The sequence below is a fragment of the Homo sapiens genome, chromosome 1 (genome assembly GCF_000001405.40).
Source record: "Homo sapiens chromosome 1, GRCh38.p14 Primary Assembly".
NCBI lineage: Eukaryota > Metazoa > Chordata > Mammalia > Primates > Hominidae > Homo > Homo sapiens.
The window spans coordinates 172,012,408-172,039,908 of NC_000001.11; the positions used below are offsets into that span (position 1 = coordinate 172,012,408).

The 27,501-nt window shown below is 37.2% G+C and overlaps 1 protein-coding gene across 26 annotated transcripts in view; it reads left to right on the forward strand.

The window, feature by feature from the left end:
• Positions 1–27,501, forward strand: part of DNM3 (dynamin 3) — a 576,969-nt gene that overhangs the window by 170,910 nt on the left and 378,558 nt on the right. For all 26 annotated transcript variants that reach the window (NR_146559.2, XM_017000979.2, NM_001350206.2 and 23 more), the window contains exons 5-7: positions 19,995–20,093; positions 20,698–20,858; positions 25,912–26,054. Coding sequence is in view for 25 of the 26 variants with exons in the window: in XM_017000979.2 (XP_016856468.1) it covers positions 19,995–20,093; positions 20,698–20,858; positions 25,912–26,054 (403 nt within the window). In the remaining variant the exon portion in view is untranslated. The remainder of the gene's footprint in view (positions 1–19,994; positions 20,094–20,697; positions 20,859–25,911; positions 26,055–27,501) is intronic.

Consider the following 27,501-nt stretch of genomic DNA (forward strand, 5'->3'; position numbering starts at 1 on the left):
ATTCAATTGTAAGAAGGATTTGCAAATGTAACTTAGCTGTGTGCCAAAGATAAGAAGAAAATAGATTCAGGTAGACAAAGAGCAGAAAGATTTAAGTGTATGTGGATTCTTTTTTTTGTTGTTTCTTCATGTCTCAGTTTATTTTGGAGTGCAAATTCTCAGAGACCCACTTCACATCTAAATTTCCTTATTTTTGAGGTAATTCTTCTCTTGCCTCTTTCCCTTTTCTTTTTCCCTCTCTTTTTCATGTCTCTTTTTTCTACAAATATTAAATCTTCCAAGTACTTTGCTAGAATCTGGACTATGTTGGTAAGCAAGGTAGAGTCCCTGCCAGCGGAGTGACAGTAATTTTTATGTTTTCTATTATTTACCTAATATTTTACCTAGCATCATATACAGTAATATTACCTGATGATTTTTAAAATAAAAACTGGGTTATTCAGAATTGTTGAAAGTAACAAGAAACTACTACTCAGGGAAAACTTAGAGAAAAAAAGACAAAACTCTTCCTATTCATCACCGTTTGCTTTCAGAATTAAAATATTCCATAATCTTTGCCAGACAGAAAGTAACAACATTGATTTCAAATCACCCTCCCTGACAACTCCCATCAAAACCCAAAACAAAAAAAAATGCATTAACTGGAGGACATCTAATTTCCTAAGTCTGTTTTTAATTTTGCTGTATACATTTTTATATTAACTCTATATTGATTTTTTTCATTGTTGTTGTTCCAGTGTACGCAGTGTTCCAGATTACTTTTCTGGCAACTGCTGATGTGGTTTGTGGCTATGTTTCGTCCCATTTCTTAATTAGATGAAATGACACCCCACTTATAATTTAGTTACATAAAAATGGGAGAAATGTCAGTGTTTTTATAGGAAAATCACCGTGCTGACAACAAATCTAGGTAACATGGTAGAATGGTATCATATATCTTCTCTGGATTTTGTATTTCAATTCTTGGGTGATCCTAAAACAATGAATAAGCTTATTTTAAAATTAATTTATTCACTTAATAAATATTTACTGAGTTCTTATTCTGTGTTTGGCAGCTCTGTGAATAGCTTAGAATATATATGTAGTTCCTGTTTTTGAAGAGACTATGCCCCGGTAGGGAAAATCGAAATATAAGCAGGCTCCTAGTGTTGTATAAGAACTATGATTTCAGTGTACATAGGAAGATTTAAGGGCACAAAGAAAGGGCTCTGAGTTATGCTTGTGGGATCCTGATTGAGGACCCATTAATGAGGTCTGAAAGAAATTTTGAAGGATAGGTAGGAGTTGACCAAAAAAATAAAGAGAAGGGTATTTGGAGCTGATGGGAATGGGATTATAAAGGTGAGGGGGGCATGTGAAGAAGTAAAAGTCATTGGGTTTGACTGAGGCTTAGTATTGGAGTAGGTTGAAGATATTGTTGAGAAATGAAGCTGGTGAGATCACAACTTTTACTTATTGAATGATTTTTATGTACCACATACTTTACAGGTATTATTTAAATTAATACACTTTATTATTTTGAGCAGTTTTAAGTACTCAGCAAAATTAGGCAGCAAGTACAGAGAGTTCCCATATAACCTCATCCCCACCGTGTGCAACCTCCCCTACTATCAGCATTCCACACCAGAGTGGTATATTGTAATCAATTGTCCCACAGACACTTGAACACACATGTTTATAGCAGCACGATTTGCAACGGTGAAAATATGGAACCAGCCTAAATGCCCATCAATCGAGTGGATAAAGAAATTGTGGTATAAATATATATGATGGAATACTGTTCAGCCATTAAAAGGAACAAATTAATGTCATTTGCAGCAACCTGGATGGAACTGGAGACTGTTATTCTAAATGAAGTAACTCAGGAATGTAGACATAAAATTTTAATCTATTTGGGTAAATACAAAGGAGGACAATTACTGAATCATATGGTAATAATATATTTAGTTTTGTTAGAAACTTGCAAACTGTCTTCCAAAGTGGCTATACCATTTTGCATTCCCTCCAGCCATGAATGAGAGTTCCTGTTGCTCCACATCCTCACCAAATTTGGTATTGTCAGTTTTGTGGATCTTAGCCATTCTAATAGGTGTGTAGTGGCATTTCATTGTTGTTTGAAGTTGCAATTTCCTAATGTAATATGATGTTGAACATCTTTTTCATAGGCTTACTTGTCATCTGTTTATCCTCTTTGGTAAGGCTGTTCAGGTATTTTTCTCATTTTTTAATTGAGTTGTTTCTTGTTGAGTTTTAAGAGTATTTTTGTGTATTTTGGATAACAGTTCTTTATAAGATGTGGGGTTTCTTTTGCAATTGTTTTCTTCTAGTCTGTGACTTGTTTTCTCACTTTTTAATTTTTTTTTCTGAGCAGAGCTTTTAAGTTTTAATAAAGTCCCCTTATTGATTATTTCTTTCATGGATCATGTCTTTGGTGTTGTGTCTAGAAAGTTATTGCTGTACCAGGGTGATGTAGGTTTTTATCCTATGTTAACTTTTAGGAGTCTTTTCAGCTTTGTGGGTCTATTACCCACCTTGAGTTAATTTTTATTAGGAGTGTGAGGTTTGTGTCTATATTCATCTTTTAGCATGTAGGTGTCCAGTTTTTTCAGCAAAATTTTTTGAAAAAACTCTTTGCTCCACCATATTGCCTTTGTATCTTTGTCAAGGATCTGTTGACTGTATTTATATGGGTCTGTTTCTGGGCTCTATTTTATTGTTTTACATGTCTATTCTTTCACTAGTACTACACTGTGTTGATTACTGCAGCTTTATTGTAAGTCTTAAAGTCAGAGGTGTCAGTCCTCCAGCTTTGTTCTTCTTTTATATTGTGTTGGCTATCCTGGGCTCTTTGCTTCTCCATACAAAACTTAGAATCAGTTTGTTGATATCCACAAAATAACTGACTGGGATTTTGATTGAGATTTCATTGAATCTATAGATTAAGTTGGGAAGAACTAATATCTTTGCAATATTGAGTCTTTCTACTTGTTAACATGTAAATAGCTCTTCATTTATTTAGTTCTTCTTTAATATCTTTCATCAGAGTTTTGTAGTTTTCCTCATACGGATCTTGCATATATTTTGTTAAATTTATACTTAAATATTTCATTTTGGGGGGTTCTAATGTAAATAGTAATGTACTTTTAATTTCAAATTCTGCTTGTTTATTGCTGGTATATAGGAAAATGATTGACTTTTATATATTAACCTTGTATTCTGTAAACTCTCTATAATTGCTTATTAGTTTCAGGAGTGTTTTTGTCAATACTTTTGGATTTTCTATATACATAATTATGTCATCTGTGAGCAAAGACACTTTTATTTCTTCCTTTACAATCTATAAAGAGTTATTTCATTTTCTTTTCTTATTGCATTAGCTAGGACTTCCAGTATGATGCTGAAAAGCACTGGTGAGAGAGAACATTTTTGCCTTTTTCCTGATGTCAGTGGGAAAGCTTTGAGGTTTTCACCATTAAGAATGATGTTGGATGGGCACAGTGGCTCATGCCTGTAATCCCAGCACTTTGGGAGGCCAAGGTGGGTGGATCACCTGAGGTCAGGAGTTTGAGAGCAGCGTGGCCAACATGGTGAAACCCCATCTCTACTAAAATTACAAAAAAAAAAAAAAAATTAGCCAGGCATGGTGCTGGGTGCCTGTAATCCCAGCTACTTGGGAGGCTGAGGCAGGAGAATCACTTGAACTCAGGATGCAGAGGTTGCAGTGAGCCAAGATTGTGCCACTGCACTCCAGTCTGGGCAAGAGAGTGAGACTCCATCTCAAAAAAAAAAAAAGAAAAAAAAAAGAATGATGTTAACTGTAGGTGTTTTGTAGATGTAGATGTTCTTTATCAAGTTGAGAAAGTTACCCTCTATTTCTAGTTTGCTGAGATTTAAAAAATTATGAATTGGTATTGAATTTTGTCAATTTTTTCTGCATCTTTTTAAGTTTTTCTACATTTATTAATAGGATCATGTGATTTTTTCCCCTGCTTTATCCTATTGATGTGGTGGATTACATTAATTGATTTTCAAATGTTTAACTGGCCCAGTATTTCTATACTTGGGATAAATCCCACTACATTGTTGGACTTGACTTACTAACATTTTGTTGAGGATTGTTGAACCTATATTCATAAGAGATATTGGTCTGTAGTTTTCTTTGAATGTCTTTATATGGTTTTGGTATTAGGGTAATGCTGGTTTTATAGAAAGAGTTAGTATTTCCTCTGATTCTAACTTCTGGGAGAGATTGTGGAAAATTGGTATGATTTCTTTCTTAAATATTTGGTAGAATTCATCAGTGAACCCATCTGGGCCTGGTGCCTTCTTTTTTGGAAGGTTATTATTAATTTAATTTATTTGATGAATATAAGCCTGTTCCAATCACCTATTTCTTCTGGTGTGATTTTGGAAAATTGTGTCTTTCAAGAAATTGGTTCATTTTAAATTTATTTTTAATTAATTATTGAAAAAAAACCATCTTAATCTGTCACCCAGGCTGGAGTGCAGTGTTTCAATCATAGCTCATTGCAGCCTCAAACTCCTGGGCTCAAGCAATCCTCTCACCTCAGCCTCCTGGGAATTGGTCCATTGTATTTAGGTTTTCAAATTTATGGGTATACAGTTGTTCATAATATTCTCTTATTATTCTTTTACCATTCATGAGACCTGTAGTCATGTCCTTTCTTTCATATCTGACATTAGTAATTTGCATGCTCTCTCTTTTTGATTACTTAGTCTGGCTAGAGGCTTATTGATTTTATAAATCTTTTCAAAAAAACAGGATTTAGTTTTATTTTCTGCTCTAGTTCTTATTATTTCTTTCATTTCCTTACTTTGGATTTAATTTGCTCTTCTTTTTCTAGTATTCTAAGGTAGAAGCTTAGATTATTAATTTTAGATGTTTCTTTTTTTCTAATATCTTATTCAATATTATACACTTCCTTCTAAGCAATGCTTTTGTTGCATTCCACAAATTTGGTAAGTTGTATTTTCATTTAGTTCAAACTGTTTTTTAAGTTTCTCATAAGATTTTTTTTACCCATATGTTATTTAGAAGTGTATAGGTTAATCTCCAAACATTTTGAGGTTTTCCAGCTATCTTTCTGTTATTGATTTCTATTTTAATTTCACTGTGATCTGATAACAGACATTGTATGATTTCTGTTCTTTTAAATTTGTTAGGGTGTGTTTGTTAGTGTCTATCTTCGTGAGTGTCCATGAACTTAGTCAAGTTCATGTGAACTAGAGAAAAATGTTTATTCTCCTGTTGGATGTAGTAGCCTATAAATGTCCATTATATCCAGTTGATTATGTTGCTTTTTAGTTCGACTATGTCCTTCCTTACGGATTTTCTGCTTGCTGGATCTATCCATTTCTGATAGAGGAGTGTTAAATTCTGTAACTGTAATAGTGGATCCATCCGTTTCTTTGCAGTTCTTTCTGTTTCTCCTCAGGTATTTTTATGCTCTGCTGTTAGATTCATACATGTTAAGAATTGTTATGCCTTCTTAGAGAAATGACCTTTTTATTATTATATAATGCCCCTCTTTTCTCTTAATAACTTTCCTTGCTATTAAATCTATTCTGTCGGATGTTAATATAGCCAATCCCAGTTTCTTTTGGTTAGTGTTAGCATAGTATATCTTTCCTCATCTATTTACTTTTAATCTGTGTGTTTTTATATTTAAAGTGAATTTTTTGTAGATAATATATAGTTGTATCTTGTTGTTTGATCCACTCTAACAATCTCTGTCTTTTAATTGGTGCATTTAGACCATTGACATTCAAGGTGATTACTGACACAGTTGAATTAATATCTATTATATTTGTTACTACTTCTATTTGTTGCCCTTGTTTTCTTTCCTTGTTTTTGTATCCCACTCTTTTTCTGCCATTTGTGCCTTTAGTTGAGCATTTTATGTGATTCCATTTTATCTTCTTTCTTAGTATATAAGTTGCACTTTTCTAAAACTTCTAAGTGGTTGCTCTAGAATTTGCTATATACATTTACAACAATTCATGTCTACTTTCAAATAACACTATACACTCCCCGACTTATGATTATTTAACTTACAATTTTTTGACTTTATGATGGTGAGAAAGTGATAGAAATTCAGTACACTTCTTGACTTATTATGGTGTGATGTCCCAATTACAACCCCATTGTAAATACAGGAGCATCTGTACCACTTTAAGAGTAGTGCAAGTACCTGATAATAACAAAATAATTTTAATTCTTTCATCCTGTTCCTTGTATTGTTTCTGTCAAATATTTTATTTACATATAAGCATATGAATAGGAATAAAATACATTGTTGCTATTATTTTGAACAAACTGTTATCTGTTAGATCAATTAAGGATTGTTACCTTACTTATTCCTTCTCTGATTCTCTTGCTTTCTTTATGTAGATCTGAGTTTCTGACTTAATATTATTTTCCTTTTCTCTAAAGAATTTCTTTTAATGTTTCCTTGTGAAGTAATTCCACTGGCAACAAACTTCCCCAATTTTTCTTTATTTGAGAAAGTCTATTACTCCTTCACTTTTCCTTCCCCTTCCTTCCCTCCCTCCCTCCTTCCTTCCCTCCCTCCTTCCTTCGCCCCCTCCCTTCCTCCCTCCCTTCCTCCCTCCCTTCCTCCTTTCTTCCCTCCCTTCTTTCCTTTTTTCTTCCTTTCTTCCTTTGTTCCTTCCTTCTTTACTTTCTCTCTCTCCTTCTTCCTCTCTGTCCTCTCTTTTCTTTCTCTCTTTCCTTCTCTCTTTTCTTCTTTATCCTTCCTTCCTTCCTTTTCCTTTCTTTTTTCTTTTCTTTTATTTCATGAGTACTGGTGCACCAGGATCTCCTTCACTTTTGAAAGATAATTTTGCAGGGTACAGAATTCTAAGTTGATATTTTATTTCTCAGCACTTTAAATACTTCCACCTTTTCTTTTGTGCATGGTTTGTGAGGAAAATTCTGACATAATTCTTATATTTGCAATCCTTTACTTCTTTCAAGATTTTTATTTTTGCTTTTTTTTTTTGTATTTTAAATATACTATGCCTAGTTATAGCTTTTGGGGGGCATTTATCCCACTTGCTGTCGGAGCTTCCTGAACCTGTGGTTTGATATCTGATGTTAATTTGGGGGGAATTCTCAGTCATTATTTCTTTAAATATCTGTTCCTTTCTCTCTCTCTTCTTCTGCATATGTTAAACCTTTTGTAGTTGTCTCACCATTCTTGGATATTCTGTTCTGTTTCCCACCCTACCCCCTAGTATTTTTTTTTTCTTTTCGATTTTAGATGTTTCTATTGAAATATGCTCAAGCTTGGTGATTGTTTCCTCAACTTTTTCCAGTCCAGTCAAATGAACCCAATCAAAGGCATTCTTCATTTCTATTAGTCTTTTTGATCTCCAGCATTTCTTTTTATTCTTTCTTAGCATTTCCATATCTCTGCTTATATTGCCCATCTGTTTTTGTAGGCTGTATATCTTATCTACTAGAACTCTTAGGATGTTAATCACAGTTTGTTTTTTTTTTATTCCCAGTCTGATAACTCTAACATTAGAGTTAGAGTTCTGAGTCTGGTTCTGATGCTTGCTCTGTCTCCTCAAACTGTGGGGTTTTTTTCTTCGCCTTTTAATATGCCTTGTAATTTTTTCTTGATAGGCAGACTGGGTGCTATATGATGTACTGGGTACAAGGCATTGTGGTTACTAAGCTATAGTCATGTAGTGGTAAGATGTGGAGCGAGAGGAAGCATGCTGTAGTCCTGTGATTAGATCTCATGTCTTTTAGTGAGCCTGTGCTTCTGGACTCACAAGTCTCACAAGTGCTTCTTAGTTCCTGCCCCACCCCTTTAGGTGGGACCGGATGGCTACAGTGGACTAGAGTTGTGTATTTTTCTTCCCCTATATAGAAGGCTAGAGCAAGCTGGAGTTAGACATGTCCTTTGCCCTAATCTGTTAGGCTCTGGAAAACCCTCAGTAGTATAGGTTCTGGTTAAATGACTTCTCTTAAGGTCAGACCTTGATAAGAAGAACAGAATGGACCCCGCGCGGTGGCTCACGCCTGTAATCCCAGCACTTTGGGAGGCTGAGGCGGGCATATCACTAGGTCAGGAGATGGAGACTATACTGGCTAACATGGTGAAACCCCATCTCTACTAAAAATACAAAAAAAAATTAGCCGGGCATGGTGGCGGGCGCCTGTAGTTCCCAGCTACTCGGGAGGCTGAGGCAGGAGAATGGTGTGAACCCGGGAGGTGGAGCTTGCAGTGGGCCGAGATCACGCCACTGCACTCCAGCCTGGGCGACAGTGTGAGACTCCGTCAAAAAAAAAAAAAAAAAAAAAAAGAACAGAATGTTGTGGGATATTTCCAGTTGATCACTTTCCTCCTTTCCCTACCAGAAGCATAAGGGGATTTTTCTCTTTAATTTACTGCGAGAATTTATTTAATCCTCTGAAGGCAAAACTCAGGTCCCTGAAGCTCATCCACTCTGAGCCTTCAAGCGATTCATGGATTACAGTTTAAGTTTTCCTGCCCCAGCATTGTTTTCCATGGAGGTTTCTGCTCTTGGGTGTCTGCTCTGTTGAGTTGTGATTCTCTATATTCACCTGTCTCTCCAAATTTTGGGAACAGCTAATTGTCTGTGATTTCACTTCACTGACAGATCTAAGAAGGGTTGGTTTTTCAGTTTGTTCAGATTTTTACTTGTTGGGATGGAATGATTTCCAAGCTCCCTACATGCCAGATAGGAGTCCTGCTATTTAATTTTATCTTTCATAAAGGAAGCCTTGGCTGGGCACAGTGGCTCATGCCTGTAATCTCAATACTTTGGGAGGCCAAGGCAGGAGAATTGCTTGAGGCCAGGAGTTCAAGACCAGCCTGGGCAATATAGCAAGGTGCTGTCTCTACAATTTTTTTTTTTTAATTACCCAAGTATGGTGGTGCATGTTTGTACTCCCAGCTCCTCAGGAGGCTGAGGCAGGAGAATCGCTTGAGCCTAGTGAGCTATGACTGAGCCATTACACTCCAGCCTGGCAACAGAGTGAAACTCTGTCTCTAAAAAAACAAAACAAAACCAAAACAACAGCAAAATAAAAAAGGAAGTCTTTTGAGAGTTAAAGGGGGTTATTTTTAATAATTATCCCAGGACAAAAAACATAAACTGTAATGTATGATTACTGTATTGATGCAGTTGCCTACTGATGAGGAAACTAATATTTCAGAGCTAATAAGAGGTATAGGTGGGATTTGAACCCAGGCAGTCTGATCCCTGAGTCAGTGCACTTATCTCTATATTATGTCACACTCACACTTTTGGGGTACCTTGTGTAGCTTTTCAAAGTCTTCACTAGGACCTATCAATACTCATCATTGTGGTTGTTCTTTCCTGAAGAGACACATAATTAAAACACAATGTCACAATGATTTATTAGCTCTTAATTTATTATTTTTAATTTCCTTTTATTAGGAGGGCAAGAACTGTGTTAAATTATTCTTTAGTTATTACTGCATATAACCTCTTCTAAATCTGCAAGTTTTTCTCCTTCCTGGAATTCTGTACTTGCCAGAGACATCTAGTCAAACTTAGTTCTGTAAACAGTCTTAGATGATATAACTTAGTTGGAAATAACATAGCTAATCACTTGTAAATTTTAGCTAAGACTTAGGAGGCAGAAAAATTTAGTGATTAAAAATGGAATTAGGTTGCTGGATTTGAATGCCAGTTTCATGCCACACAGTCTGTGACTCTTAGGTAAGTGTGATTTTCCTCTCCAAGTCTCACTCTCCTCATCTGTATGCTTGAGAAGATAATAGTATCTATCTCTTGGTGGTTGTTTTGAATCCTATATGAGCCTGGCACATAATCAGGGCTCTTTATTTTAGCTGGATCTTTAGGTTTCTAGTGAAATGCTTTCAAAGCATGATGACTTTAAAATCCTTTCTGACAGTGGTTTTTAAGATCTATCAATGTAGGTATTGAGTCTGCCAGCAGGAGTTCATTGATTATTTTAAGCTGCCTATTTGTGTAACTTAATATAGATAAGAAAATGGTCCCCTTTGCCATTTTGGTATATCACTAAGTATAGATCTAGCTTCCTTTTCAGATATAAGGGAGTAGTAAAGAAAATACTTCTATAATCAACTTTTATTTTTATTAGAGCTATAAATATATATAGCTTTCTTAAAAGAAAAAGTCAGTGCAAAAGGCTTTTAATAGAAACAATCAGTCCCTTGCCCACCCCTCCTGACTCTTGATTATTGATTTCCAGAGGCTACCACTTACAATTCTTTTAGCTATTGATTTTGATAGTTACCTCCATATTTCTATGTAATCTGTTTATATTACTATTTTTTATTTTTCTTAGTTTTAGATACTCTCTTTTGACTTCTCACTGTAGAGAAGGAGGATTTAGCTGTCTTATATCCTTCTCCTATACTTATGTATACTCACACACTCACATATGCACTTATCCTCCTACATTCTACTAAAAGAATCATATTTTGCTGAATAAATTTTTATAATCCTGAAAATGTTATTCATAGCTGAGCTATGTGGTAAATTTTGGTTATTCTTTCTTCCATGATATTGTCTTTTTTGAGGTTGATAATTATCTCTGTTTGGTTTGTTTGCATAGTTTTCTGTACATCTATCACTAACGTATTCCCAATCTCCCCTACAGAAGTCTCAATCTCTCAGTACTTTAAAAACATTCTGGATTAGGTAGTTTTATGTTTATTTTCTTGGTAGAGGAAGAAATCTCTTCAGGACTCTCTGTTCTCTCATTCCCATAGATATCAATTGCTCTCTTGGTCTCATACTGGGATCTATACCATCCTGAAAACTTCCTTCTTTTCTTGGTTGTATTCCTGCTTCCTGGATCTCATGTCTTCCTCTTTATTAGTTTGCTCCCTTGTTTTGTAGAACACGTTCTTTAACAGCGTTCTTAAAAAGGTGAAAGGGAGGTAAAATATTTTGAGATTTGCAAGTCTGGAAATATCTTTTCCTACTGTCACGTTTATTGAAAATTTAGAATTCTAGGTTAGAAATGATTTTTCCCTCAGAATTTCAAAAACATTGCTCTATTGTTTTTTAGTTTCCAGTTTGCTGCTAGGAAGACTGATGCTATAGTGATTCCCAATCCTTTCTTTGTGTCTTTTCTTTAACTTCTCTGGAAACTTTTTAGTATCTTTTATCAGTTCCCAGTATTTTGAAATATTTTACTGATATGCCATTTTGTGTGTATGTGCATGTGTGTGTGTGCTCATTTCCTGTTTGGCACTTGTTGAGTTTGTTCAATCCATAAATTCCTATCTTTTACTTATAGGACATTTTCTTGAATAGGATCTCTCCAACCCCAAACTGTTTCTGTTTGATTTTCTCTCTTTGGAATGTCAGTTATTCAAATATCGAATCTTCTGGGCCATTTCTCTAGTTTTAACAATGTGGTTTTTTTTTTTTTCCTTGTTTACTTCTTTTTTTTTTCTTTCATTTTCTGGAACAATTCCTTGAGTTTTTCTTCCAACCATTTTACTAACATTTTAATTTCTGCTCTCCTATTTTCAGTTATTGAGATTTTTTGCCTGGTGTTTCTGTTTATGGCCTTCTAATTTTGTTCCATGAATGCAATAAGTTCTCCTTTCTCTCAGAATATTAGTAAAAATGATCAAGTTGTATTCTGTATTTTACATTATCTTTTTTTCCTTCAGGTTTCATATTACAATGTTTATTTGTTTTGGTCTCTGAGAATCTTTTTGGCTTTTCCTTCTTTCTTTTCTTTTCTTTTTAAATTTTCACAAAAGTTTCTATTGTGACCAACAATAAACATTCAAAAAAGTAATAATATCCATTGATTCAATATCCTTCAGAGAATAGAAACCATGTAAAAAAACTGTTAATTTTATAAGAATAGGTAAATTTTGGTATCCATATCTGACAATGCCATTACAAGAAGGGAAATTTACAGACCGTGATCCTTTTTGAACTAAATTTATATATCCTATTCAAAAATCCAGCTATATTTTATAAGGAGGTTATATAATGACCAAATGTGGTTTATGCAATTAATTCAGTATGTACTAATTCCTGAATAAAGAGTAATAATAGTCTCAGGCTGGCAAGCTGAATAGGAACAGCTCTGGTGTGCAGCTGCCAGTGAGATCAACGCAGAAGGCAGGTGATTTCTGTAATCCAACTGAGGTACCTGGCTCGTCTCACTGGGACTGGTTAGACAGTGGGTGCAGCCCATGGAGGGCAAGCCAAAGCAGGATGGGGTGTTGCCTCACCTGGGAAGCGCATGGGGTTGGGAAACTCCCTGCCCTAGCAAAGAGAAGCTGGGAGGGACTGTGCCTAGAGGAAGGGTGCATTCCAGCTCAGATACTATGCTTTTCCCACGGTCTTCACAACCTACAGGCAAGAGATTCCCTTGGGTGCCTACACCACCAGGGCCTGGGGTTTCAAGCACAAAACTGGGTGGCTGTTTGGGCAGACACCGAGCTAGCTGCAGCAGTTTTTTTTCATACCCCAGTGGCACCTGGGACACCAGCTAGACAGAACAATTCACTCCCCTGGAAAGGGGGCTGAAGCCAGGGAGCCAGGTGGTCTAGCTCAGCGGATCTCACACCCACAGAGCTCAGCAAGCTAAGATCCACTGGCTTGAAATTCTCACTGCCAGCACAGCAGTCTGAAGTTGACCTGGGACGCTTGAGCTTTGTTTGGGGAGGGGCGTCTGCCATTACTGAGGCTGGAGTAGGTGGTTTTCCCCTCACAGTGTAAACAAAGCCACTGGGAAGTTCCAACTGGGTGGAGCCCACTGCAGCTCAGCAAAGCCGCTGTAGCCGGATTGCCTCTTTAGATTCCTCCTCTCTGGGCAGGGCATCTCTGAAAGAAAGGCAGCAGCCCCAGTCAGGGCCTTATAGATAAAACTCCTATCTTCCTAGGACAGACCACCTGGGGGAAGGGGCGGCTGTGGGTGCAGCTTCAGCAGACTTAAATGTTCCTGCCTGCCAGCTCTGAAGAGAGCAGTGGATCTCTTAGCACAGCATTCGAGCTCTGCTAAGGGACAGAATGTCTCCTTAAGTGGGTCCCTGACCACCGTGCCTCCTGACTGGGAGACACCTCCCAGCAGGGGTTGACAGACACCTCATACGGGAGAGCTCCGGCTGGCATCTTGTGGGTGCCCCTCTGGGACGAAACTTCCAGAGGAAGGAACAGACAGCAGTCTTTGCTGTTCTGCAGCCTCCGCTGGTGATACCCAGGCAAACAGGATCTGGAGTGGACCTCCAGCAAACTCCAGCAGACCTGCAGCAGAGGGGCCTGACCGTTAGAAGGAAAACTAACAAATCAGAAAAGAATAGCATCAACGTCAACAAAAAGGACATCCACACAGAAACCCCATCTGAAGATCACCAACCTCAAAGACCAAAGGTAGATAAATCTATGAAGATGAGGAGAAAGCAGTGCAAAAAGGCTGAAAATTCCAAAAACCAGAATGTCTCTTCTCCTCCAAAGGATCACAACTCCTCGTCGGAAAGGGAACAAAACTGGAAGGAGAATGAGTTTGATGAATTGACAGAAATAGGCTTCACAAGGTGGGTAATAACAAACTCCTCTGAGCTAAAGGAGGATGGTTTAACCCAATACAAGGAAGCCAAGAACCTTGAAAAAATTTTAGAGGAATTGCTAACTAGAGAAACCAGTTTAGAGAAGAACATAAATGACCTGATGGAGCTGAAAAACACAGCACGAGAACTTCGTGAAGCATACACAAGTATCAATAGCCAAATCAATCAAGCGGAAGAAAGGATATCAGAGATTGAAGATCATCTTAATGAAATAAAGCATGAAGACAAAATTAGAGAAAAAAGAATGCAAAGGAATGAACAAAGCCTCCAAGAAATATGGGGCTATGTGAAAAGACCAAGCCTGCATGTGATTGTGTACCTGAAAGTGATGGGAAGAATGGAACCAAGTTGGAAAACACTTTTCAGGATATTATCCAGGAGAACTTCCCCAACCTAGCAAGACAGGCCAACAGTCAAATTCAGGAAATATAGAAAACACCAGAAAGATACTCCTTGAGAAGAGCAACCCCAAGACACATAACCGTCAGACTCACCAAAGTTGAAATGAAGGAAAAAATGTTAAGGGTAGCCAGAGAGAAAGATCGGGTTACACAGAAAAGAGGCCCATCAGACTAACAGCAGATCTCTCTACAGAAACCCTACAAGCCAGAAGAGAGTGGGGGCCAATATTCAACATGCTTTTTTTTTTTTTGAGACAGAATCTTGGTTTGTTACCCAGGCTGGAGTGCAGTGGTGCAATGTTGGCTCACTGCAAGCTCCGCCTCCGGGTTCATGCCATTCTCCTGCCTCAGCCTCCCAAGTAGCTGGGACTACAGGCACCTGCTACCACGCCTGGCTAATTTTTTGTATTTTTAGTAGAGACAGGGTTTCACCATGTTAGCCAGGATGGTCTCGATCTCCTGACCTCGTGATCCACCCACCTCAGCCTCCCAAAGTGCTGGGATTACAGGTGTGATCAACATTCTTAAAGAAAAGAATTTTCAACCCAGAAATTCATATCCAGCCAAACTAAGCTTCATAATTGAAGGAGAAATAAAATCCTTTACAGACAAGCAAATGCTGAGAGATTTTGTCATCACCAGGACTGCCTTACTCTTAAGAGCTCCTGAAGGGAGCACTAAATATGGAAAGGAACAACTGATACCAGCCACTGCAAAAACATACCAAATTGTAAAGACTATTGACACTATGAAGAAACTGCATCAAATTACAGGCAAAATAGCCAGCTAGCATCATAATGACAGGATCAAATTCACACATAACAATATTAACCTTAAATGTAATAAAAGGGTTAAATCACCCAATTAAAAAACACAGACTGGGCTGGGCACAGTAGCTCACACCTGTAATCCCAGCACTTTAGGATGCCGAGGTGGGTGGATCACGAGGTCAGGAGTTCGAGACCAGCCTGGCCAAGATGGTGAAACCCTGTTACTAAAAAATACAAAAATTAGCTGGGCGTGGTGGCATGCGCACATAGTCCCAGCTACTCAGGAGGCTCAGGCAGGAGAATCGCTGGAACCCGGGAGGCAGAGGTGGCAGTGAGCTGAGATTGTGCCACTGCACTACAGCCTGGGTGACAGAGCAAGACTCTGTCTCAAGAAACACACACACACACACACACACACACACACACAGAGAGAGAGAAATTGGATACAGAGTCAGGACCCATCCATGTGCTGTATTCAGGAGATCCATCGTATGTGCAAAGACACACATAGACTCAAAATAAAGGGATGGAAGGATATTTACCAAGGAAATGGAAAGCAAAAAAAAGCAGAGATTGCAATCCTAGTCTCTGATAAAACAGACTTTAAGCCAACAAAGATCAAAAAAGACAAAGAAGGGCATTACATAATGGTAAAGGGATCAATGCAACAAGAAGAGCTAACTATCCTAAATATATATGCACCCAATACAGGAGCATCCAGAATTCATAAAGCAAGTTCCTAGAGACCTACAAAGAGACTTGGACTTCCACATAATAATAGTGGGATACTTTAACACCCTACTGCCAATATTAGGTCAACGAGACAGAAAATTAACAAGGATATTCAAGACTTGAATTCAGCTCTGGACCAAGAGGACCTAAGACATCTACAGAACTCTCCACCCCAAATCAACAGAATATACATTTTTCTCAGCACCACATCACACTTACTCCAAAATTGACCACATAATTGGAAGTAAAACACTCCTCAGCAAATGCAAAAGAATGGAAATCGTAACTAACAGTCTCTCTGACCACAGTGCAATCAAATTAGAACTCAGGATTAAGAAACTCACGAAAACCACACAACGTCATGGAAACTGAACAACCTGCTCCTGAATGACTACTGGGTAAATAACAAAATTAAGGCAGAAATAAATAAGTTCTTTGAAACCAATGAGAATAAAGACACAACGTACCAGAATCTCTGGAACACAGCTAAAGCAGTGTTTATAGAGGAAGTTATAGCACTAAATGCCCACAGGAGAAAGCATGAAAGATCTAAAATCGACACCCTAACATCACGATTAAAAGAACTAGAGAAGCAAGAGCAAACAAATTCAAAAACTAGCGGAAGAGAAGAAATAACTAGGATAAGAGCAGAACTGAAGGAGATAGAAACACGAAAACCCCTTCAAAAAATCAATGAATCCAGGAGCTGGTTTTTTGAGATTAACAAAATAGACTGCTAGCCAGATTAATAAAGAAGAAAAGAGAGAAGAATCAAATAGACAATAAAAAATGATAAAGGGGATATCACCACTGATCCCACAGAAATACAAACTACCATCAGAGAATACTATAAACACCTCTATGCAAATAAACTAGGAAATCTACAAGAAATGGAAAAATTATTAGACACATACACCCTCCCAAAACTAAACCAGGAAGAAGTTGAATCCCTGAATAGACCAATAGCAAGTCTGAAATTGAGGCAGTAATTAATAGCCTACCAACCAAAAAAAAGCCCAGGACCAGATAGATTCACAGCCAAATTCTACCAGAGGTACAAAGAGGAGCTGGTAGCATTCCTTCTGAAACTATTCCAATCAATATAAAAAGAGGGACTCCTCCCTAACTCATTTTATGAGGCCAGCATCATCCTGATACCAAAACCTGGTGGAGACACAATAAAAAAAGAAAATTTCAGGCCAATATCCCTGATGAACATTGATGCAAAAATCCTCAATAAAATACTGGCAAATCTAATACAGCAGCACATCAAACAGCTTATCCACCACAATTAAGTTGGCTTCATCCCTGGGATGCAAGGCTGGTTCAACATATGCAAATCAATAAACATAATCCATCACATAAACAGAACCAACGACAAAAACCACATGATTATCCCAATAGATGCAGAAAGGCCTACAAAATTCAACATCCCTTCATGCTAAAAACTCTCAATAAACTAGGTATTGATGGAACGTATCTCAAAATAATAAGAGCTATTTATGACAAACCCACAGCCAATGTCATACTGAATGGGCAAAAGCTGGAAGAATTCCCTTTGAAAACCGGTACAAAACAAGGATGCCTTCTCTCACCACTCCTATTCAACATAGCATTGGAAGTTCTGGCCAGGTCAATCAGGCAAGAGAAAGAAATAAAGCGTATTTAAATAGGAAGAGAGGAAGTGAAATTATCCCTGTTTGCAGATGACATGATTATATATTTAGAAAACCCCATCGTCTCAGCCTGAAATCTCCTTAAGCTGATAAGCAACTTCAGCAAAGTCTCAGGATACAAAATCAATGTGCAAAAATCACAAGCATTCCTATACACCAATAAGAGACAAACAGAGAACCAAATCATGCATGAACTCCCATTCATGATTGCTACAAAGAGAATAAAATACCTAGGAATCCAACTTACAAGGCATGTGAAGGACCTCTTCAAGGAGAACTACAAACTACTGCTCAAGGAAATAAAAGAGGATACAAATAAATGGAAAAACATTCCATGCTCCTGGATAGGAAGAATCAATATCATGAAAATGGCCATAGTGTCCAAAGTAATTTATAGATTCAGTGCTACCTCTATCAAGCTACCACTGACTTTCTTCAAAGAATTAGAAAAAACTACTTTAAATTTCATATGGAAACCAAAAAGAGCCCATGTAGCCAAGACAATCCTAAGCAAAAAGAACAAAGCTGGAGGCCTCATACTACCTGACTTCAAATTATACTACAAGGCTACAGTAACCAAAACAGCATGGTACTGGTACCAAAACAGATATATAGACCAATGAAACAGAACAGAGGCCTCAGAAATAACGCCAGACATCTACAACCATCTGATCTTTGACAAACCTGACAAAAACAAGCAAGGGGGAAAGGATTTCCTATTTAATAAATGGTGTTGGGAAAACTGGCTAGCCATATGCAGAAAACTGAAACTGGACCCCTTCCTTACACCTTATACAAAAATTAACCCAAGATGGATTAAAGACTTAAATGTAAGACCCAAAACCATAAAAACCATAAAAGAAAACCCAGGCAATACCATTCAGGACATGGGCAAAAACTTCATGACTAAAACACCAAAGCAATGGCAATAAAAGCCAAAATTGACAAATGGGATCTAATTAAACTAGAGAGCTTCTTCACAGCAAAAGAAACTATCATCAGAGTGAACAGGCAACCTACAGAATAGGAGAAAATTTTTGCAATCTACCCATCTGACAAAGGGCTAATATCCAGAATCTACAAAGAACATAAACAAATTTACAAGAAAAAAAACAAACAACCCCATCAAAAAGTGGGCAAAGGTTATGAACAGACACTTCTCGAATGAAGACATTTATGTAGCCAACAAACATATGAAAAAAAGCTCATCATCACTGGTCATTAGAGAAATGCAAATCAAAACCACAATGAGATACCATCTCATGCCAGTTAGAATGGCGATCATTAAAGAGTCAAGACACAACAGATGCTGGAGAGGATGTGGAGAAATAGGAATGCTTTGACACTGTTGGTGGGAGTGTAAATTAGTTCAACCATTGCGGAAGACAGTATGGGAATCCCTCAAGGATCTAGAACCAGAAATACCATTTGATCTAGCAATTCCATTACTGGGTATATACCCAAAGAAATATAAATTATTCTACTATAAAGACACATGCATACATATGTTTATTGATGCACTATTTATAGTAGCAAAGAATTGGAACCAACCCAAATGGCCATCAGTGATAGACTGCTAAAGAAAATATGGTACATACACACCATGGAATACTATGTAGCCATAAAAAGGAATGAGTTCGTGTCCTTTGCAGGGACATGAATGAAGCTGGAAGCCATTATTCTCAGCAAACTAATACAGGACAGAAAAGCAAACACCACATGTTCTCACTCATAAGTGGGAGTTGAACAATGAGAACACATGGACACAGGGAGGGGAACAACACACACTGGGGCCAGTCAGGATGTTGGGGATGAGAGGAGGGAGAGCATTAGGACAAATAGCTAATGCATTGGGAGGCTTAAAACCTAGATGATGGGTTGATAGGTGCAGCAAACCACCACGGCACTCGTATACCTATGTAACAGATCTACACATTCTGCACTTGTATCCTGGAACTTAAAGTAAAATAAAACATAAAGCAATATAAATTACTAGGCAAATACTGTCCATTTCATCTAATGAAGAAAACAAATGACAAATATCATGTATATGACGTGCTACACAAAATGTCTAGGTTCTTACATTATTTATTACTGGAAGAAACCTTGGAGATCATGGTTTCTAACTCTTTATTTGACAGATGAGGAAAACTGAGACCTGGGGAGTTTTGGTGACTTGCTTTGAGACTAGAATCCAAGCTTTGTAATTCCTAGTACAGTCTTCTTTCCATTAAATCATATTTCCTTTTCTAAGGAATAGTGAATGCTGTGTGGCTTACAAGTTTATTTTTGGTGATGGCACTTTACCTGCTTTTCTTCTTTTAATTTTTTTGACCTCAGTGACTAGAACTGGATCAATAGTAATCCTTGGTTTATGACGCACTCTCATCATTGGTCCATGCATAACCTATTTATTTGTTTATTTGCTTTTAATAATGTAATACATAAAAATTTCAAATATTCATATTAGGTGGAGAACTTAGGAGCAAAATGAAAATGTATAATTTCCATATATGCGTGGTACAAAAATAAACTCTTATATTTCAAAATTATTTTTGTGCTATAGCTATTTGTTTTTCTCCCTTGGGTTGAAGGTTATCTTCTGGATGGGTGGTTTGGCAACTGTCCTCCTCATCACACTGAAATCACCAAACTCAAGTAGCACTTAGAAAACAAAGTAAGACAGAAGGAAATGGGAAAAGGACCAGGAAAATGTGCTTTACATTTAGCATTGTGACATATATGTCTAAAATTTGTTAGTCTTCTGCAAATTGTGTAATGTTGGGTTTGTTTATGATGCAGGTCTGAGAACCATTGGAGTTATCACCAAACTGGACCTTATGGATGAAGGAACGGATGCCAGGGATGTTCTAGAGAACAAACTGTTGCCTCTTCGCAGGGGTAATGTACTGTGGTCTATACAAGACTTTTTTTTTTTTTTTTTTTTTTTTTTTTTGTTATATGGAAGAGAAATGATTGGGAAGCCACTAGGAGGTTTGGTTTTAATGCCTTCTCAGTTGTAAGGAATGGATTTATTATTAGTTATACTTTTCTGGAATGGCTGTATGTTCCCAAATGATATACTAGAAAATAATCCAAAGGGAGAACTATTCCTTAAAATAACAGGAATAAGAAAACAGGAAAAGGAAGGAGTTTGAAGGGAGGTTATAAATATTCATCATAGGCTACATAAACTTATACTATTGTAAGCCTGGTATTTACTTGCCTGCTATATGACAAAACTGCTAAGATACACACTCTCTTAAAATGTACACAGTTTGAGGGTGAGAGGCATTATTGTACTGATGCTAAAAAATTATCGTGGGCTCAATCAGCAGCCTGTATTCAATACTGATGTTTCCCATTGAGTTTTATAAAGGAACTCAGTCTTCAGGCCTAAAACTAGTTTTGCCTTTCTTACTCTGCCTATGTGAGAGCCTTGAAATCTCCCTAGAATAAGCCACAAAAAGTGTCCCCAACTCCATAGATTTGTGTTTTGTTTCAGGTTACGTGGGGGTGGTAAACAGAAGCCAGAAGGACATAGATGGGAAGAAGGACATAAAGGCAGCCATGCTGGCAGAGAGGAAGTTTTTCCTTTCCCACCCGGCTTACAGACATATCGCTGACCGAATGGGAACCCCACACCTGCAGAAGGTCCTTAATCAGGTAAAAATGTTCTTTCAAGCAACAAGAACAATTATGAAATATGTAAGTAGGTGCTGGAATTCATATTTATTATTTTTAAGTTTATTTTTTTTTCCAAAACAAGACATGCAGCTTCAATGATAGGGATTTTAAAAATGAATATTAGTACCTCAGATTCACACTATTACCGTTCTCAGTGAATAGAACTCACCTTCCTATTATTGCAAGAACAATTATCAAAGCAGAAACACATACCTATTTAGGAACAGTGAACAGGGATATACATTTTAGCATATACTCACTTGTAATATGTAGTTATCTTGAGAAGTTAAATTTTTATAGCTTTGAAAAGTTGATCTCTTGGGATCTGTTTTTGAAGCACCAGTCTGTAATGGCTAGGTTACACTTTCTGTTAAATTATTTTTATGGCTTTGTTTAGAATTGATTTGTTTCTTAATTTAAAATCTTCAGAATCACAAATCCTAATTAAATAATCATTGATTTCCACTCATCTAAGATGCTTTTCTAGATAACCCCTTTTCCCACAATAATTTAGAATTGGGCCTTCTGCCTACCCCGCTCCATGCACTATGCACACACTTCTTCCGTAAATCCTCAATGCTCTTACTTGGTTACAGATATTCCTTCCCCTATTGGAGTTAAGTGTTACGACAAGCATCATTGTCATTGAATGCAGGGCCTCCTCCCTGAGTTTTGATTATATTGACTTAATGTGATCAGCAGCCTTTCTCACAAATATTCTTGTAAGTTATGCTTTAACTGTTACATACAAACTTAATCAGGCAATCAATCAATCAAGTAGATTTCTGATTCTTAGCTCCTGGAAAGTATCAATAGCTGTCACAATATGTGACATTATACCTGAACCATTTAGGCAAAACAACTGAGAAGAAATTTTAGAAAATAAAAAATTATGTTATAATTCCATTTTAAGAGGTACAATACAGACTATTGTAAAGTTTATACTTTTTAATTAAAGATAAACATTTGGACACTAGGAAACATCACTATGATTGTATCATTTAAAAATATGAATATATTTTTGAGAAGGAGCATTGTTATGCAAGAATGCTAACACTCTACCAATATATTTTGCACTGTCAAAACTCTCTTTAGAATACTGCTTTAACAGCTGTATTTGCCTACAAAAAATACAAATAAACTGAAAAAATCTCAGAGGAAACTCACTAATATGATTAGAAAGATAAAGCTGGAAATGAGTTAGGTTTTGAATACTGGAAAAACAAAAGGAGGTGGTTGACTATTAGGTTATTACAGGTGACCCCCAAGTTATGACACAATTGGATTCTCGTTGACTAAAAATTGAATGATTTTTTTTTTAACTGAAGATTTCTCCTTTCCTGGATAATCACTCTCTCTTTATTGCTTCAATAATATTTATACTATGTTTGAAACTAAGATAATTCTATGGCTATGTATGTGTACCAATACTTCTGCTCCTGTGGGATAATTTATATGGAAAATGCTGGAAAATGACATGACGTTTTTGAAAAATTGAATGAAATTTTCACTGTCGGGGGAAGGCAGAGAAAGAGGTAGTGAGTTGTATTAGATGATATTGGAGATGTAGGCAGTGGCTGAATCCTGTAATGTTTCTAGACCAAATTGAGGATTTTGGCTCTTACCTAAGACCAATGAGGAGTCATTTAAAGGTCCTGAGTAGAGGAACAACAAGATCAGATCCGTGAGTGAAAAAAGAATGTGGTATTGACAAGAAGACCAAGAGTAGACCAGTTAGAAGTAAAAATGAGAAATTATGGGAATTTGGTTGTGGTAAGGGCCAGTGGAGAGTAAAAAAAGGGGCGGGTTTGAGAAATGTTCAGGAAAATTGAGGACTAGGTGGTAGATTAGAGCTGTTGGGTAATGGGAGAGGTAGAGTCAAGGTTACGTCTCAGGTTTCCAGATTCTTATGAAGTCACCAAGATGGGGAACCCTGAAGGGAAGATCAAATACTTGATTTTGGACATGTTGAGCTTGAGATATCATTGACACATCCAAGAGGAGAAGTCAATCAACTGGTCAAATATGCATGCCACAGCAAAGATAAATCTTGTTTGGAGACAACATCTTACAGCTATAGGTATTTGGATGTTTATTGAAGCCAGGATGGAATGAGATTCCCTTAAGAGAGAACAGAGAGTAAATAAAAAAGAGGCCTTGGACCCAGATTTGAGGAATTTCAATAATTACTCTTCTGGCAAAGAGGGTGAATTGTCCAAGGAAATAGAGAAGATACATCCAGAATGGATAGCAGAAAAATGAGAGGAGCTGGAATTATGGAAGCCAGGGGAAGAAGTGTTTTAGAAAGCCGCAGTATTGCTTTGCTCTGGAGATGTCTGAGAAGCAAAAGGTGGAAATCAGGTATTTTTATTATTTACCAGTTCACATGGCAATCAGTTGGTTGCTGGTTTCTTGTGGTTGCTGGTTCTGTTAGATTTGGGTCCTTGTCTCTTGTGACGTTGCTGTCGGGAATGCTGTCCTCTCAGCTCTTTTGTTGCCTGCTTCATAGTTAGAACAGCAACGCATGCCAGGGTGCTAACAATAATTTATTACTGCAAGCAAGGGGGTAATACAGTTATAAACTATTGACAAATAACTCTAGATTTATTTAATAAATATATTCAGCTAACCTCAGATAAACATAAAGATGACTTAAAATAGTTTCTTCAGTCAATCTGGATATGTTAATTCTCCTTACTTTTTTTTTCTTTTTTTATTTTATTTTAGTATTATTATACTTTAAGTTTTAGGGTACATGTGCACAATCTGCAGGTTAGTTACATATGTATACATGTGCCATGCTGGTGTGCTGCACCCATTAACTCGTCATTTAGCATTAGGTATATCTCCTAAAGCTATCCCTCCCCCCTCCCCCCACCCCACAACAGTCCCCAGAGTGTGATATTCCAATTCCTGTGTCCATGTGTTCTCATTGTTCAATTCCCACCTATGAGTGAGAACATGCGGTGTTTGGTTTTTTGTTCTTGCGATAGTTTACTGAGAATGATGATTTCCAATTTCATCCATGTCCCTACAAAGGACATGAACTCATCATTTTTTATGGCTGCATAGTATTCCATGGTGTATACGCTACCTGACTTCAAACTATACTACAAGGCTACAGTAACCAAAACAGCATGGTACTGGTACCAAAACAGAGATATAGATCAATGGAACAGAACAGAGCCCTCAGAAATAACGCCGCATATCTACAACTGTCTGATCTTTGACAAACCTGAGAAAAACAAGCAATGGGGAAAGGATTCCCTATTTAATAAATGGTGCTGGGAAAACTGGCTAGCCATAGGTAGAAAGCTGAAACTGGATCCCTTCCTTACACCTTATACAAAAATTAATTCAAGATGGATTAAAGACTTAAACGTTAGACCTAAAACCATAAAAACCCTAGAAGAAAACCTAGACATTACCATTCAGGACATAGGCATGGGCAAGGACTTCATGTCTAAAACACCAAAAGCAATGGCAACAAAAGCCAAAATTGACAAATGGGATCTAATTAAACTAAAGAGCTTCTGCACAGCAAAAGAAACTAGCATCAGAGTGAACAGGCAACCTACAAAATGGGAGAAAATTTTCGCAACCTACTCATCTGACAAAGGGCTAATATCCAGAATCTACAATGAACTCAAACAAATTTACAAGAAAAAAACAACTCCATCAAAAAGTGGGCAAAGGACATGAACAGACACTTCTCAAAAGAAGAGATTTATGCAGCCAAAAAACATGAAAAAATGCTCACCATCACTGGCCATCAGAGAAATGCAAATCAAAACCACAATGAGATACCATCTCACACCAGTTAGAATGGCAATCATTAAAAAGTCAGGAAACAACAGGTGCTGCAGAGGATGTGGAGAAATAGGAACACTTTTACACTGTTGGTGGGACTGTAAACTAGTTCAACCCTTGTGGAAGTCAGTGTCTTGATTCCTCAGGGATCTAGAACTAGAAATACCATTTGACCCAGCCATCCCATTACTGGGTATATACCCAAAGGACTATAAATCATGCTGCTATAAATACATATGCACACGTATGTTTATTGCAGCACTATTCACAATAGCAAAGACTTGGAACCAACCCAAATGTCCAACAATGATAGACTGGATTAACAAATTCTCCTTAATTTTAATATTTTTTCTTTTTTCTGCATTTCTAGGAAGTTTATATTCTTTTCATTGATTTCAAGTTCATCACTTAGGAAGTTCAAGATTATCTGTTTTTTCTTTTAATTCAGACTTTTCTTTAACTGCATTGTAATAGAAAGGCTGTAAGACCTAAACAATCTGGGTTTTTATCTCACCTTTGTTCTTAATTAATCATGCACTCTTAGGTTCTTGGAAAAGTTTTCATTGTACTGAGCTTGAGGTGCCTGCTGATCTCAGTGGAAATGCCAAGTAGATGGTTATGTCAAGCCTTCAATAGCAGAGAGAGCTTTCCCTTACTCAGTCATGGAGTTGCACTGGGATCTAGAGATGGAAGTATGAGTAAGTTTCTGCCTCAGCTGAAGAATGTGGAGAAAATTAACAGCTGACAGGTGCCTCTAGCACCTTGGCTACCTGAGCTTCATCAGTGTGGTAAACCACTTAGTCCTGAGAACACCGGGTAGCAGCTGTGACTCCTAGCTTCCTTCATTTCTATCACATTCTAACTTAAGGTTCCTTTCTACAAGGTAGGAGACCTGGTAAATCAATCCATGCTAAGGTGTTATTGGGCAGCCTCATTAGTAACATTAGCTGCATTTTAACAGGGTCTTCCTGGATTTAAAGAGATAGCTCAAGTGAGTGACTCTAAATGAAGGAATTTTGAGCATCTCTGAAGGGCAGTGGAGGAGGGAGTTGGTGTTCCTTCTCCCTATCTACATAATAGTCAATGTCAAATGCAGACATAATGTTTGAAATTTTGAATTATTAGAAAAACAATGGAGGCGGATCTTTGTCTCATGAGTTAATCTTTAATCTGTGTATATGATTCAATCTTCAATCTGTGTGTATCATTTTGTTTTGTTTAGCAACTTACCAACCACATTCGGGATACCCTACCAAACTTCAGGAACAAACTACAGGGACAGTTGCTCTCCATAGAACATGAAGTAGAAGCCTACAAAAATTTCAAACCAGAAGACCCAACAAGGAAGACCAAAGCATTGCTGCAGTAGGTCACCTTTCCCTTCCTTGGCTCAGCATTTTAATCTAATTTCTTTAGTTTTCTATTGCCTTAGTCTATTTGTCACGTTGCTTCTTAGGTAGCAAGTAAACTATATGAGGCTATCTATATGATACAAGATAACTCTTGAATTTTTATGCTTTGTTGAACAAGAATTATTGGTATTATTCTGTTATTATCAACTTACCAGTTGAGCATCCTCATGCCCATTTAAATTGTGTTTTTAAAACTGGATTAAGTGAGTAAAACCATTAGGGATGACCCAGCAGGAATTTTTGTCCCTTGTCTTAGAAGTGGGTAAATACAGATGCAAATATCATTTGTATTTTTCAGCTGTTTCTATGGATGTCAATTGTACTTATTATCCTTTATTCCAATTATTTCATGTAACTTATTTGTGTGCATTTTTCAGTGGAATGAGAACCAAGGGTTTAATTTAAAAGTTCTAACAATAAGGCTGTAGTTTTTTTTTTTCCTTTTACATAATGATTTTAATGTAGTCCTTTGAAAATGTAAATGTGAAACTGCCAAGCATCTTTTCACCCCTTCATGATCTTCCCATCTTATCTTTGGGTTACTAGAGTTATTCCTGTGGTGTCTTGGGGTAGGATAGCAGAGAATTGTTAGAGAATTCCTAGCTCTTTATATCTTACACTTTCTTCTCTCCTTCAAATCCTTCTGTCTCCATCAGTTCCTTTATCCTGTGCTGCCACTTGTGTCAAGTCCCTCTCAACAGGAAGGCTCCCCTGCCCAGCACACACTGCAGGATACCCAAGGTCTACCTCCGAAGATGATGTTTGGCACCTCTTATGGCGCACTTTTCTCCCCAGCAGCGTGGCAATCAAAGCATCCTTCAATTGGCATTCAAAGTGCACACTATAATTTCTTTCTTTGTGAGGAGATTCCCAAATGCTCAAATATTTAAATATAATATTAATTGCTTCATCCTATATTTCCTCATTAAAAATATTATACAAAGGAAAGAGTTTTTTTTTTTTCAGATATAACTCTTTCCTAATTTATTCTTTCTTTTCGTTCTTGGGTTTTGTTGAGCTCTTGCAAAAACTCTTCAAGTTACAGAGAAAGCTATTTCTGTTTAGGCCCTAGGTCATTATCTTAATATCCAACTAAAACTATTCTGCTTGCAAATACCGGGTCTTGCCTCTGTGACTTTATTGGACTCAGATTACAGAACTTTTCACAGCTAGATTCTTGATTTGCAGAGGGCTGATTCAGCTCCTTCTTTATGGCCCTATTCTTTCTGACCTATTTCTTTTCTCTCTTCTATCCTTCCCTCCTGCCTTCCTTTCTCTGTTCTTCCTCCTTCCTCTAATCTCTTCATGCACTCAGTGTCTGGTTCTGTGAAATGAATGATAATAAGATTCTTGCCCTCAAGAAGTCCCAGTAGAGTAGGGAAAAACAGACATAAAAATTA